The sequence below is a fragment of the Homo sapiens genome, chromosome 20, assembly GCF_000001405.40.
Source record: "Homo sapiens chromosome 20, GRCh38.p14 Primary Assembly".
Taxonomy (NCBI): domain Eukaryota; kingdom Metazoa; phylum Chordata; class Mammalia; order Primates; family Hominidae; genus Homo; species Homo sapiens.
In genome coordinates this window covers 23984180-23997469 of record NC_000020.11, presented here as the reverse complement: position 1 = coordinate 23997469, position 13290 = coordinate 23984180, and the positions used below count along the sequence as shown (strand labels likewise).

The following is a 13290-nucleotide window of genomic DNA, read 5'->3' as shown; positions in this document are numbered from 1 at the left end:
ATAAGGACCTCAAGCCTGCTGTTTTCTTCTGTCTCCCATCCCAGCTCATAGTGGAGAAATCTAAATGTGGTACTTCTGTTGGTAACTTGCTGATTACCCCTGGATGCCAAGGTAGGGGGCTGTCTTCTGATTCTTGCTCAGGTAGCACACAGGTATGCTTGACCATTGACTACTCTTACAGGACAGCAACAATATTCCTGGTCTTTCTAGACCAAGGAGGTCAGCATTCATGTCACCTCTTCCTCATTGTTTAATAAGGATTTTTACATGCTTCTTATCAGCTATAAATGTGCTCCAGGGCTCAGTAACATCAACTCAAGTCATGAAGCAGAATTCCCCTGCTTAGCATTATATTGTTTGCTGCCGGAGAAATGAAATGATGGCTAAGATCCCCCGCCTGGAATTGCTTGCTATTGGGAAAGGAAGATTCAAGTTGTTACAACCTAAATAAAGTAAAATATGTGTTATAAATTACAAGCCACACTCTAGAATTTACAAAGAGCACTTCACAGTGCATGCCTGCCTATGTGTAAGCCTGCTGTGCTTCTTGGTATCTCTTCAGATAATTCTCACACAGCCCTGATAAAGTTCTATGGATGCAAGTGATTTCATCTTTCCATATGCAAAATCCAATTTGAACTTGGGAAGGAAAAAAATGAAACACCTTAATAACAGAGATTTATGACATTTTTAACCTGAGAAAGATTAACTTTTTCTATCATTTATAATTCAGCTCCCCTAGCAACCTTATTTACAAGCCAGATCCATGTTCCCTTACGCAGCTGGCTCAATTATACAGCAGCATGAAAAATCATCTGGGCAGAGAGTATTAGCTTAAACAGAAATTTGTCTTCCACACTGGAGTATAAGCCGAATTCTGTGATAAAACACATTACCTTCGTTCTTTAATTTTTCAAAGAAGAAATGAGATGACTCTGTCAGGAGGCTGAGGAGGGGAGTCTCACTTCATTCCAGGATTGGCAACAACAGCACAGAATTCATTCCCAACGGTACCTGCTAGAGATGAGCAAATGTCTATCAACGTAAATTTTTTAAAGAAGAAAAATGCCAACCAAAGAGAGAAAATGGAAAAAGGTAAAGCACGGTGTTAGTGTCCTAAGGTGGCCAGCAGGGGGCAGCATTTCCCGTGTAAATAATTCACGAGTGCCATTTCAGAACAATGCATAGTGATTATTTTTAATTACATTAATTTCTCCTTTAATATTAATAATTAATATTAAATATTAATATTAAATATTAATGTTAAATATTAAATATTAATATTAAATATTAATATTAAATATTAATGTTAAATATTAATATTAATATTAAATATCGATATTTAATATTAATATTAAATATCAACATTAATAGTTAATATTAAATATCAATATTAATATTTAACATTAAATATTACTGTTTAATGTTAAATATTAATATTAATAATTAATAACATTTTGTTATTAATAATTAATAACATTTTGTCTTCCTCTAAGCGCCTGGCTCCGCTGTTCTCAGGAGTGGGTTCTGAAGTCTCTGGAGAACAGGATACGTGGAGGGTTAGGAAGGGGCCAGGCCTAGAGATGGGAGACTCCCTCCTGGAGCAGGTGGAGGCACAGGACCATTCGCTACCCCATCTGCCGGCACCTGCGGGGAAGCCCAGGCATTCTTTGTAAGCCCTCCTGACCACCTGGCTCAAAGAAAACAGAAGCATGGAGGCCGCCAAGTGTTTTCAAGAAATAACCCCATGAACACGGCATCACTTTTTTAGAAAGAGGGGTTTGGGGCAGGCAGAGGAGAGAAGGGAGAGCAAACTGAGAGCCAAGTTTCCAGACAATCTTGCAGGAGGAGAGGATGCAGCTGCCCAGAGGGAAGCAGGATCACATTTAAGGAAGTGTGTGGGGTCCCTGGATGACACCAGCACCCAGTGCGGCTCTGTCGGGCAACCGCTCCCAAGGTGGGAGGAGTGGGTGTCCCCTGTGTGTCAGTGGGCAACTCCTGCTGAACCCGCAGCTCACTAGGGAGCCTGACAGTGGGGCCATGCACCTGACACTCCTCTCTGCTTGTGGACCTGGCAAGGCAGGGAGCAGAAAACAGAGCCACTTGAAGGCTTTCTGTCTGCGTCTGTGTGCAGTGTGGATTTAGTTGTGCTTTTTTCTTGCTGGGAGAGCACGGCCACCATTTACAAGCAGTGTCACCCTCGTGGGTGGCGAGGACAGAACAGGAGCCTCTGCTCTCTGTACCTATCTGGGCCCGGTGGGCTCCCCTGTCCTGGCTTCCATCTGTCTCAGCGACCATTCAGCCGTGGGCAGGAACGCATGTTGCTTAGAAAAGCCAAATCCAGCCCTTGTCTCTGCCTCCTCTGGTCTCATGATGTGCATCTGTTACCTTGAAACTGGAAACCAGTCTATCAATGTCTGTGCCAATTTTTTATTCCCTCCCCAACCTCCTTCCCCATACGACTTTTTATTTATGTAGGATGTGTGCTGTCTAATGATGGGATGACCACACTTTTCCATGTTCTAAAAGTGCTCCTCTCCCGCAGGGTCCCAGGGCTGGTGGTTGCTTTGGGTCTACAGCTACGTCTTACCCACCTCCTGCCTCAAAAGCCTGTGTGGTGGCAAAGCCGGTGTGGGGCTGGGGAACGCAGCGTTCTCCAGGAGGGGGACCCGGCTCTCCTTCTGCAATGCAGGCGAAGGCCTAGATGCCAGTGTGACCTCCCACAAGGCGTGGCTTCCAGACTCCCCGGCTGGAAGTGATGCTTTTTTGCCTCGGGCCCTGGGTTTGAAGCAGCCTGGCTTTCTCTTGGTAAGTGGCTGGTGTCTTAGCAGCTGCAATCTGAGCTCAGCCACCTACACACCACCGTGGCCGACACTTTCATTAAAAAGTTTCCTGAGACGACTTGCTTGCATGTTGATTTCATGATCAGCGCCGCTGGGAAGGACCCCTGAGCCAGTGGGGTGGGGCTGGAAGCAGCAGGTGCAGTGATGGGGCTGGGTGCCCAGGAGGCCTCAGTGCTCAATCAGGCCAAGGTGGCCAAGCCCAGGCTGCAGGGAAGGCCGGCCTGGGGGTGTGGGTGAGCACAGGCAGGCGCCAGCTGGGCAGTGTTAGGATGCTGGAGCAGCATCCGTAACTCCACTGAGTGGGGTAGTCTGGTTGGGGCAGGGACCGCTGTTGCTTTGGCAGAGAGAGATGATCCCCACTGGGGAGAGGCTGTTCTGACTCTACAGGTGGGACAGGGACAGATGGCCACCAGGGTGACCCAGCTGATCTTCCTTTGCTATGCTAAGCCCTGGGACATGGAGGATTCCCGCCACACACAGCCTGGGCCCGGGTTCTTACCTGTGGCCACCGCTCTGGCATGAGCCCCTCAGTCTTGGGTGGTTTCTGCCTGGTCCGGGATTTGGTGTTGCTGCTGAGTCCAGCCTTTCCACCACCTCCACATGGGCCGTGGGTGTTGTCAGCTGCCTCCCGCCTTGGCTTCAGTAGCTCACCCAGCTTACAGGGGAGCTGCCCTGGGCTGGAGATGGGCACGCACCCTGGGTCCTACTTGAATGAATGCAGCTTGAGGAGACCCGGCCATATCCACTGGGCCACAGGTTACCCTCGGCAATGCCCACATCAGCCGTCAGCCTGAGCCTCCCCAGGAGAGCAAGGCTCACACGACAAAGGCTGCCCATAGCCAATGAGGTGGCTGAGCTTTCTCGGACCTTTCTCGGACTCCCAGGATGTGGCTCTGCTTGTGAGCTGCCTGGTCAGCTCTCTCGGGGTGAGAGGGGCTTGTCACATGGGCCCCTGCCTGCAGTGTGACCCTTCTCAGCTTCTCTCAGCAGCCCTGCCTGCAGAGTGTCACCGCCACCATGATAATTTCCCTGACACTGCGAGGGTGGGGGGACGTCCTGGGTAGAGACCGGGCCCGTGGCAGCAGCAGGCTCAGGGGCGCCCTGCACTGGTGGGCTGGGAACCTGATGGAGACCATGCCAAGGGCTGGACAAGGGGACGAGCCTCCACCCTGGCCTCTCCGCAGGCCTCAGCAGCCCCTCCCACAGGCAGAAGGGTTGACACTGGGTTCTGCCCTCACTGCAAGAGCTGCAAGTGCCACGTGGTGTCCTGCCCAATCTGGTGTCTGCAGGTGAGGAAAGGGCTGCCGCTGGCCTGTTTCTGAGTGTTCAGCACCTAAGGGTGACAGCACTGTCTGTCCCTACCCTCCGGGTCCTGTTTGAAAATCAAACCCATGCTCACAGGCCGATTTTTTTTCTTTTAGAGACAGGGTCTCAGTTTGTCACCCAAGCTGGAGTGCAGTGGTGCGATTATAGCTCAATGCAGCCTCCAATTCCCGGACTCAAGGGACCTTCCTGCCTCAGCCTGCCAAGTAGCTTGGACTATAGCTGTGTGTTTTATTATTATTTTGTAGACATGGGGTCTGGCTATGTTGTCCAGGCTATTCTCAAAATTCCCGGCCTCAAGCAATCCTCCCGCCTCAGCCTCTCAAAGGTTGGGATTACAGGTGTGAGGCAAGGCACCCAGCTCAGCCACAGAGCCCTATTGCATCTCTCTTACTAGGAGCAAGAGCTGACTGCCCCCTCATCCCCATTCCAGAGTGTTGGGGCTGTGTTCAGCTGAGGCCGGGACACTGGCACGGCCCAGGGAGCGGGATCATTCACTGCTGCCCCAAATCTGAGATCATTCCACCTTGACAAGACTTCCTCATCCAATCCCTTTACTTGACAGCTGGGGAAACCAATGCGCACGGAGCACCCCCAGCTCACTTGGGGTCTCAGAGCTCATCCATGAGCAGAGGCTGAGATCCTGGGATCTTGTCCCCCAGCCTCCCTGCAAGCTTACTCCCTTTCTGCTGGAAGAGATGGGGCCGGACCTCGACCAGCAGCCCTGGCCTGGACATGACTGTGCTCATGCAGGTATTGAGGCCAAGATGCCCCGGCATCATATGTTTTTCTTTTCTTTTTTTTTTTTTTTGAGATGATGTCTCACTCTGTCACCCAAGCTGGAGTGCAGTGGCATGATATTGGCTCACTGCAACCTTTGCCTCCCAGTTAAAGTGATTCTCCTGCCTCAGCCTTCCAAGTAGCTGGGCCTACAGGCTTGTACCACCATGCCTGACTAATTTTTGTATTTTTACTAGAGACGGGGTTTCCCCATGTTGGCCAGGCTCGTGTCGAACTCCTGACCTCAGGTAATCCACCTGCCTTGGCCTCCCAAAATGCTAGGATTACAGGCATGAGCCATGGCATCACTTAAATGTAGTGAGAGGCCAGGTATGGTGACTCATGCCTGTAATCCCAGTACTTTGAGAGGACGAGGCTGTCCGATCACCTAAGGTCAGGAGTTCGAGACCAGCCTGGCCAACATGGTGAAACTGTGTCTCTACAAAAAGATAGAAAAAAATATCCCTGCATGGTGGTGAGTACCTGTAGTCCCAGTTACTCAGGAGGCTGAGGCATGAGAATCGCTTAAACCTCGGAGGCGGAGGCTGCAGTGAGCTGAGATGGCGCCACTGCACTCCAGCCTGGGTGACAGAGCAAGACTTTGTCTCTAAATAATTAAATAAATAAATATGGCCGAGCATGGTGCCTTAGACCTGTAGTCCCAACACTTTGCGAGGCTGAGGCAGGTGGCTCATGAGGTCAGGAGCCCGAGACCAGCCTGGCCAAGATGGTGAAACACTGTCTCTACTAAAAATACAAAAATTAGCCAGCTGTGGTGGCAGGCACCTGTAATCCCAGCTACTTGGGACACTGAGGCAGGAGAATCGCTTGAAACTGGAAGTCAGAGGTTGCAGGGAGCCGAGATTGCACCACTGCAGTCTAGCCTGGGCGATGGAGCAAGACTCCATCTCAAATAAATAAATTAATAAATACAGAGCAAGATTCCATCTTAAATAAATAAATAAACATACACCTGTAATCCTAGCACTTCGGGAGGCTAAGACAGGTCGATCACCTGAGGTCAGGAGTTCGAGACCAGCCTGACCAATATGGCAAAACTCCATCTCTACTAAAATTACAAAAATTAGCCGGGCGTTTTGACATGTGCCTGTAGTCCCAGCTACTTGGGAGGCTGAGACAGGAGAATTGCTTGAACCCAGGAGGTGGAGGTTGCAGTGAGCCGAGATCTCGGCTGCACTTCAGCCTGGGTGACAGAGTGAGACTCTGTCTCAAAAGGAATAAATAAAATACAAAATAAAAAAAAAATGTAGTAAGATTGCAGAGTCGTGCCGCGGAAGCGTGCTGGTCCTATCCATGTAGTGAAGGCTGATTTCATACACAAATGTCACAAGAACTTTTTTTTCTTTTTCTTTTTTTTTGAGACGGAGTCTCGCTCTGCCACCCAGGCTGGAGTGCAGTGGCACAATCTCAGCTCACTGCAAGCTCTGCCTCCCGGGTTTATGCCGTTCTCCTGCCTCAGCCTCCCGAGTAGCTGGGACTACAGGCCTGTGCAGCAGATGCTGGGGGGCCACTAGGCCCAGGCAGTCTTGGGACTTGTGTCTCTCCTGCTGTGCATCCATACTGGGTGCTTTAGAAATGGCAGGCAGACCAGAAGCCCCTGTTGCAAGTGAGGACAAAGTGTGGGAAGGCCATGAGGGTCTGCAGTCCTAGATGGCCTTGTCCTCAACCTGCAGTGCACTCTTGATGCGCTGGAATGCCACCTCCTTCTCCCGGTCCAGGTCTTCAGCAGTGACCCGGTACCCCAGCTCTAAGGGAGGAGGCAGCATCAAAGGCTCCCCTCGCCTGCGTGGCAGCAGGGGAAACTTGTGTCTACAGGGCCTAGAGGCCTGGGATCTGGGGAAGCCACCCCTGGGGGCGAGTGTCTGCCCTGGTGCTGTATCTGCCGTCTTTTCACAATGGGTGTGACCCGAAGAGACAGCCTGAGGTCCGTCCTCACTCACTGTGTTTGAGGAACTGAGGGTCAGCTGGCAGTGGGATGAGGCTGGCCCCCTCCTCCGCTTTCGTTCCGGGAGGCCTCCCGTAGAGCTGTAGGAGCTGGAGATGGCCTTTCGTTTGGGGCACGAGCTGGTCCGGGAGGTCTGGGATCTCTGGTTCTGACCTCTGGGCACCTGCTGCAGCTGTGGCTGAGGCCCAGAAATGTGAAGGGCCTCTATCCACTCTAGTAGTGACCCCAACGTGGGGTTCAATGTGGAGGGGGGAGGGGCTGCTGCGGCTGCAGGAGCAGAAGTGCCAGGGCTTGTTCTTCTCATGCCCGCATCCATGCTTGCAGCTGGGAAGGGGGCAGGAATCAGCGAGGTGACCTGGGCTGAGTCCTGGGAGTGGGAAGAGGTGGCAGGAAGGGGATCTGAGGAGGAGAACAGGGGGCCTGGTGGTCTGTGCTTCTTCCCAGACATGGGAGCTGTAGAGGGGACCTCTGCAGCAGGTGCTAGGGGGGCCAGTAGGCCCAGGCAGTCTTGGGACTTGTGTCTCTCCTGCTGTGCATCCATACTGGGTGCTTTAGAAACGGCAGGCAGACCAGAAGTCCCTGTTGCAAGTGAGGACAAAGTGTGGGAAGGCCGTGAGAGTCTGCAGTCCGAGATGGCCTTGTCCTCAACCTGCAGTGCACTATTGATGCGCTGGAATGCTGCCTCCTTCTCCCGGTCCAGGTCTTCAACAGTGACCCGGTACCCCAGCTCTAAGGGAGGTGGCAGCATCAAAGGCTCCCCTCGCCTGCATGGCAGCAGGGGAAACTTGTGTATACTGGGCCTAGAGGCCTCGGATATGGAGGAGTCATTCCTGAGGGTGAGTGTCTGCCCTGGTGCTATATCTGCTGCCTTTTCACACTGGGTGTGACCCGAAGAGACAGCCTGAAGCCTGTCCTCACCCACTGTCTTTGAGGAACTGAGGGTCAGCTGGCTGTGGGATGAGGCTGGTCCCCTCCTCCGCTTTAGCCCCGGCAAGCCTCCCGTGGAGCTGCAGGAGCTGGAGATGGCATTTCGTTTGGTGCAGGAGCTCGTCCAGGAGGTCTGGGATGTCTGGTTATATCTGATTTCTCACCTCTGGGTATGGAGGTCTGTCTGCAGAGGCCCGGGCCCGGGCACAAAGGGAGAGAGAGGCCTCCATTGTCCCGCAGGGGCCGAAATGCAGACCGTGCATCCCCGGTGACCTCGGGGACCCTTCTCTGATCATCAGGATTCTCTTGGACTCTAGGGTCCTTGTCCTGCTCAGGCATCCCTGCCCCGCTCTCCTTGAGGGCCCTCAACACTGTCTTCCCTGGACACAAGTCTGGGGACAGCCGGGTGTTTTGGACACCAAAGGGGTGACTCCCGGCTCCTGGGCCCCACAGAGAGTCCTTGTGCTCAGTGGAGTGGCTGAGCTGGAGGACGCCCTGGAACTCAGAGCACACAGCACTGGCTTGCTGTGGTACCTGTGCAATCAAATTGAAAGCAGGATCCCAGGAAGGAACGCAGGGCTTGCAGGATCACGGAAAACCTTCTTAGAGTTGTCTTGACACCACTGATGTCAAGTGTCCGGGTGCTTGTAGGATGGCCTGCCACTCAGTCCACAGGCAGGAGCAACGGGGAGATCCCACAAGCAAAGTGAACTGGGGGATGGGCTGAACCGGCTCCAGGCAACTGAGCCCTACTGGCAGGTCCTAGGCCTGGGCCCGAACAGGAAGGAGGGGCACAGAGTGCCCAGGTAACCGCTCCTGGGAGCCCTGGGGAACCGTCGGTTGCTTGAACTCTCGAGAGCTGGGCTCTGCGTCCTCGTCCAGCCGCCAACTCGGCCAAAGGCGAAGCCAGCAGTTTCTTCTGCTGCCGGGCAACGCGCCTTTTAAACCTGAGGGAGTGGGCGCGTGAGCACTTAATGGCGCCGGTGACAGAGTGAGCTTAACGGATTAATAAGCGCAGCCAGGTACCCGCGCAAGGCACTTGCTGGCAATGGCGGGAGGCGGACGTGGGGGGTCATGCAATAGGTACTGGAAGGAGAGACACGGGCACAAAGGTCGCGGGAGGAACAGGTGCCCACAATGGCGGCAGATCTGCCCGTGGATCACTGAAGATTCCTGCTCTCCTGCTGAGGTGGAGATTGCAGTGAGCTGAGATCGCGCCATTGCACTCCAGCCTGGGCAACAAGTGCAAAACTCAGTCTCCAAATAAAGAAAAAGAAAAAAAAGAGGCCGGGCGTGGTGGCTTATGCCTATAATCCTAGCACTTTGGGAGGTCGGAGCGGACGGATCACGAGCTCAGGAGTTGGAGACCAGCCTGGCCAACATAGCGAAACCCCGTCTCTAGTAAAAATACAAATTTAGTCAGACATGGTGGCATGCGCCTGTAGTCCCAGCTACTCCGGCGGTTGAGACACAAGAATCACTTGAACCCGGGGGTGGGGAAGGGATTGTGATGTGCCGAGATCACGCCACTGCACTCCAGCCTGGGCAACAGAGCCAGACTCTTTTTTTTTTTTTTTTTTTTTTTGAGATGGAGTCTCCCTCTGTCGCCCAGCCTGGATTCCAGTGGCCTGATCTCGGCTCACCGCAAGCTCCGCCTACCGGGTTCACGCCATTCTCCTGCCTCAGCCTCTGGAGTTGGGACTACAGGCGCCCGCCACCACACCCGGCTAATTTTTTGTATTTTTAGTAGAGACGGGGTTTCACTGTGTTAGCCAGGATGGTCTCGATCTCCTGACGTCGTGATCCGCCCTCCCAAAGTGCTGGGATTACAGGCCTCGGCCTCCCAAAGTGCTGGGATTACAGCCGTGAGCCACCGCGCCCGGTGTTGAAACTCCCTTGAGGCATTTTCTTCGGCCTTCGGGTCCATCCTCTCTGTCTCCTCCTTGACCTCCTCATCTCCTCCTCGCCACTGCCTTGGGGACCTTGGCCAGGCTCATGGCATCCAGCAGCCACTCAATGTCAATACCTCCATGTTCATCTCTCAGCCCGCCCTTGCCCGTGAACCCATGCTTATTTATTTATTTTTTTTATACGTGCACCCATGCTCTTCAGGTCTGATGAAGTATCCAAAATCAAGCTCCTGACCATCCCCAAACCTGCCCCTTCTGCAGAGTTTACCTCGCTAGTCGGCGCCATCCTTGATTCTTCTCTTTCTCCCACCCAGGCCATCATCTCTTGCCTGGTTGATACCCACAGCCTCCCCTTTGGACTTTATCCTTATCCCCGTCATAGCTGCCAGAGGGACCCTGTGAAAACACTCCCCAGCCTGCTCATTCCTCTGCCCTAAGCCTGCATGGCACAGAGCAAAAGCCAGTTGTTATGGGACCTAGGATGTCCTGTGGGATGGGCCCCAGCCTGCATCTTCAGCCTTTTCTCCCCACCCCACTCCATTCACTCTCTGCCTATCGCTCACCAGCCTATACCACCTGCCTCAGGGCCTTTGCACTGACCATTTAGGCCACATTCCAGGCTCTTTTCACACATTGCCTCCTCTGAGAAGCTCTCCCTAACCACTCTGCCCATACCTCATGCCTCTTGATTCCCCTTACCTGGCTTGTGGTTTCAGCACTTTCGCTGTGTGTGTTTGTTTTTCTTGGCATGAGGGCAGGACCTAAGTGTCTGTTTCCTATTGATTCCCCAGTGCCAGGCATGCAGTGCAAACTCTAGAAATATTTTTTGCATGAAGGAATGAGTGATTGAATGCAGCAAGGGTCTGGAGGCTGAGGACCAGGCAGACAAACATTCAGAGTTGCTGGAATGCGACAGAGACAGGGAGTCAGACTGGTCATGCAAGGTCCTGGGCCTGCCCTTGGGTCCTGGGGAGCCACGGAAGGTTGTGGGTGCCAGAGGGTTGTGGTCAGAGCCACAGTCAGGGGCCTTCTGAGACCTGTGCCCCCTCCCCACCCTCCCTCCCCACCTCCCTAGGCCAGCTCTGGGGTCTCGGCAGGTGGTCCGCGACATGACCTCCGAGTTCTTCTCTGCCCAGCTCCGGGCCCAGATCTCTGACGACACCACTCACCCGATCTCCTACTACAAGCCCGAGTTCTACATGCCGGATGACGGGGGCACTGCTCACCTGTCTGTGGTCGCAGAGGACGGCAGTGCTGTGTCCGCCACCAGCACCATCAACCTCTAGTAGGGGCTGCTGGGCCGCCTGGGTGGGAAAGGGCCAGGGGAGGGTGGCTCAGGGACTGCCCACTTATCCAGTAAGGTGGCTCCATCACCTCTTTTCCTGGTGGGAAACTGAGGCCCAACCTTGGTAGCTTATCCTGAGCCTCTCAGTGAGTATGTTTGAGCCTCAGTGGGTGGATAGGGACCAGGCTGGGCCAGGCAAGGTCGGGCACTGTCTGACCTGGCTGGGCGATAGCTTTGGCTCCAAGGTGCGCTCCCCAGTCAGCGGGATCCTGCTCAATAATGAAATGGATGACTTCAGCTCTACCAGCATCACCAACGAGTTTGGGGTACCCCCCTCACCTGCCAATTTCATCCAGCCAGGTATGGGGTGGAGGTCCGAGGGTGGGGGACTGGGGTGGAGAGGGGCGGGTGTCCTGGGCAGGCAGCTGACGGGCATCCCTGTCTTCTCCCATTGGCCGCAGGGAAGCAGCCGCTCTCGTCCATGTGCCCGACGATCATGGTGGGCCAGGACGGCCAGGTCCGGATGGTGGTGGGAGCTGCCGGGGGCACGCAGATCACCATGGCCACTGCACTGGTATGTGTCACACCTTTTCTCCCTGGCCGTGCCCACCCTGCACAGCCCCCAAGCCATGCTGATCACACTCCCATGCCCCAGGCCATCATCTACAACCTCTGGTTCGGCTATGACGTGAAGTGGGCCGTGGAGGAGCCCCGGCTGCACAACCAGCTTCTGCCCAACGTCACGACAGTGGAGAGAAACATTGACCAGGTGGGCTGGGGGTTGGAGAAACTGAGTCACGGTGTGGGGCCCCAGGGCATCGTGGGCTGGAGGCCTGGATCATCACAGAGTGGACAATGGTTGGTGTCCTCTCTCTAGTGCCTGGGCCATCTGGAGCCCCTGTGCCATGAGGGCCAAACCCCTTGCTCCAATGAGACCCAGCAGGCCCCAACCTGCTCTTCCTGATGACCTGGCCTGAAATGGCACCACCTGGGCTGAGGCCTGTGACCACACAGGTGTGGTTCAGGTGGCATCTGGAGCCCTGCTCAGGCTTCCCCTCTCCTCCCACCCCCAGGAAGTGACTGCAGCCCTGGAGACCCGGCACCATCACACCCAGATCACGTCCACCTTCATTGCTGTGGTGCAAGCCATCGTCCGCATGGCTGGTGGCTGGGCAGCTGCCTCGGACTCCAGGAAAGGTGGGGAACCTGCTGGCTACTGATTGCTCCAGGCGGACAAGGCTGACAAGCAATCCAGGAACAAAATACTCACCAGGACGAGGAAGAGGACTTTGGGGGACAGGCTTCTCCTGTGAGCAGCAGAGCAGCACAATAAATGAGGCCACTGTGCCAGGCTCCAGGTGGCCTCCCTGGCCTGTCTCCCCACTCTCTGGGCCTCAGTGTATTGTGTGTGAAATGGAGCCATCTGGCTGGGGAGGAACAGAGAGGTGGGATTCGGAGATCTTCACAATGCGGGCACTGGAACTAGCCTCAGCATCTTCAGCATGGGGAGAGCCAGGCACATGGCTGGGGGCCAGGGGAAGGTTCACACCAAGCCCTGCCCCTTTCCACCCTGATCCCTTGAACTTTGGGGCCAGGCCCTCCCTTACTGGGGCTGGGCAGTGACACTACCTAGGATCAGCCACCAGGGGGTGCCACGACCCTGGCACTTTCTTAGGCAGAGGGTGGCCAGCTGATGCTGGGAACCCGGGCGCCTTCTCAGACCCGTAGGCGTCTAGCTCACCCTGCCGAGGACACTGGATGTGAAGCTGAGGTCCGAGGAATGGGGACTGGGCAACAGGCTGCAGGAAAACATCTCGGTCAGAGCCACGCCCCTGGGGGGTTTCCAAGAGCAAGCCCAGAGTGAAACCCAAGCTTGTGATCCTCTCCAGAGGGAGGCCTGGTTCTCAGGGAACAGCAAACGGGAAGATGTCCCCAGATCCCAGGGATCAGGGCTTGGACCAGCCGGGGACGCAGCCCAGAGGGAGTGGGTCCAGAAGGAAACAGCTAGACACAGCAGCCTTCACCATCCGCAGCCCCTCCAGGCCTCCCTCAGGGCCTGCTCCCTCCTCTGTGCACAGTTCCAACACCTGGGGCAGGGTTCTGGGAAGGGCTGGTGGAGGTGGGCTGGTGGGAGGCGGTGATCACAGCCCAGCACCTGGATATCACCAGGGGCACTGGGGCCAGGGGCCAGGTGAGGCCAGGTCGGGGCTATCCTTCAGGAGCCCCGAAAACCTGGTGATTCCAAAGGGCCCATAG

At 54.7% G+C, this 13290-nt stretch overlaps 1 protein-coding gene, 1 long non-coding RNA gene and 1 pseudogene across 11 annotated transcripts, besides 3 other annotated features; 1 reads left to right on the top strand and 2 right to left on the bottom strand.

Moving 5' to 3' along the window:
* Nucleotides 1–912: 912 nt before the first annotated feature.
* On the bottom strand, nt 913–3362 carry LOC107985438 (uncharacterized). Of its 2 annotated transcripts, none has more exons than XR_001754556.3 (3): nt 3343–3362; nt 2595–3224; nt 913–1014 (listed from the first exon to the last, which is right to left on the bottom strand). It is a non-coding gene; the product is annotated as an uncharacterized LOC107985438 (long non-coding RNA). The 2 variants fall into 2 exon arrangements; XR_001754555.3 differs by having other exon boundaries at nt 915–1017.
* Nucleotides 1564–2282: an enhancer, noted in NCBI's record as "H3K4me1 hESC enhancer chr20:23975825-23976543 (GRCh37/hg19 assembly coordinates)". NCBI's record gives its function as "activates a minimal SCP1, AML or CMV promoter by ChIP-STARR-seq in primed H9 embryonic stem cells {active_cell/tissue: H9 hESC(primed)}" and the evidence as "EXISTENCE:reporter gene assay evidence [ECO:0000049][PMID:30033119]".
* Nucleotides 3003–3722: an enhancer, noted in NCBI's record as "H3K4me1 hESC enhancer chr20:23974385-23975104 (GRCh37/hg19 assembly coordinates)". NCBI's record gives its function as "activates a minimal SCP1, AML or CMV promoter by ChIP-STARR-seq in naive H9 embryonic stem cells {active_cell/tissue: H9 hESC(naive)}" and the evidence as "EXISTENCE:reporter gene assay evidence [ECO:0000049][PMID:30033119]".
* On the bottom strand, nt 7023–8178 carry POM121L3P (POM121 transmembrane nucleoporin like 3, pseudogene; annotated as a pseudogene).
* On the top strand, nt 8691–12417 carry GGTLC1 (gamma-glutamyltransferase light chain 1). Of its 9 annotated transcripts, none has more exons than XM_011529392.3 (7): nt 8691–8861; nt 10541–10693; nt 10886–11034; nt 11267–11394; nt 11496–11608; nt 11690–11803; nt 12108–12417. In XM_011529392.3, exons 3-7 carry the CDS (start codon nt 10949–10951, stop codon nt 12252–12254), a joined length of 588 nt encoding a protein of 195 aa, XP_011527694.1. In that variant the 5' UTR covers nt 8691–8861; nt 10541–10693; nt 10886–10948; the 3' UTR covers nt 12255–12417. The 9 variants fall into 9 exon arrangements, with proteins under 9 accessions (XP_011527694.1, XP_005260922.1, XP_011527695.1 ...); XM_005260865.5 differs by having other exon boundaries at nt 10825–11034; XM_011529393.3 differs by lacking the exon at nt 10541–10693.
* Nucleotides 11598–12594: an enhancer, noted in NCBI's record as "H3K4me1 hESC enhancer chr20:23965513-23966509 (GRCh37/hg19 assembly coordinates)". NCBI's record gives its function as "activates a minimal SCP1, AML or CMV promoter by ChIP-STARR-seq in naive H9 embryonic stem cells {active_cell/tissue: H9 hESC(naive)}" and the evidence as "EXISTENCE:reporter gene assay evidence [ECO:0000049][PMID:30033119]".

Excerpts from the sequence above, each read along its gene's own strand:
- GGTLC1 (XM_005260863.5), top strand. The coding sequence starts at position 10,859 with ATGACCTCCGAGTTCTTCTCTGCCCAGCTCCGGGCCCAGATCTCTGAC. Across the intron at positions 11,035-11,266 it reads ACCAGCACCATCAACCTCTA|CTTTGGCTCCAAGGTGCGCT; the intron begins GTAGGGGCTGCT and ends GCTGGGCGATAG. Across the intron at positions 11,804-12,107 it reads TGGAGAGAAACATTGACCAG|GAAGTGACTGCAGCCCTGGA; the intron begins GTGGGCTGGGGG and ends TCCCACCCCCAG.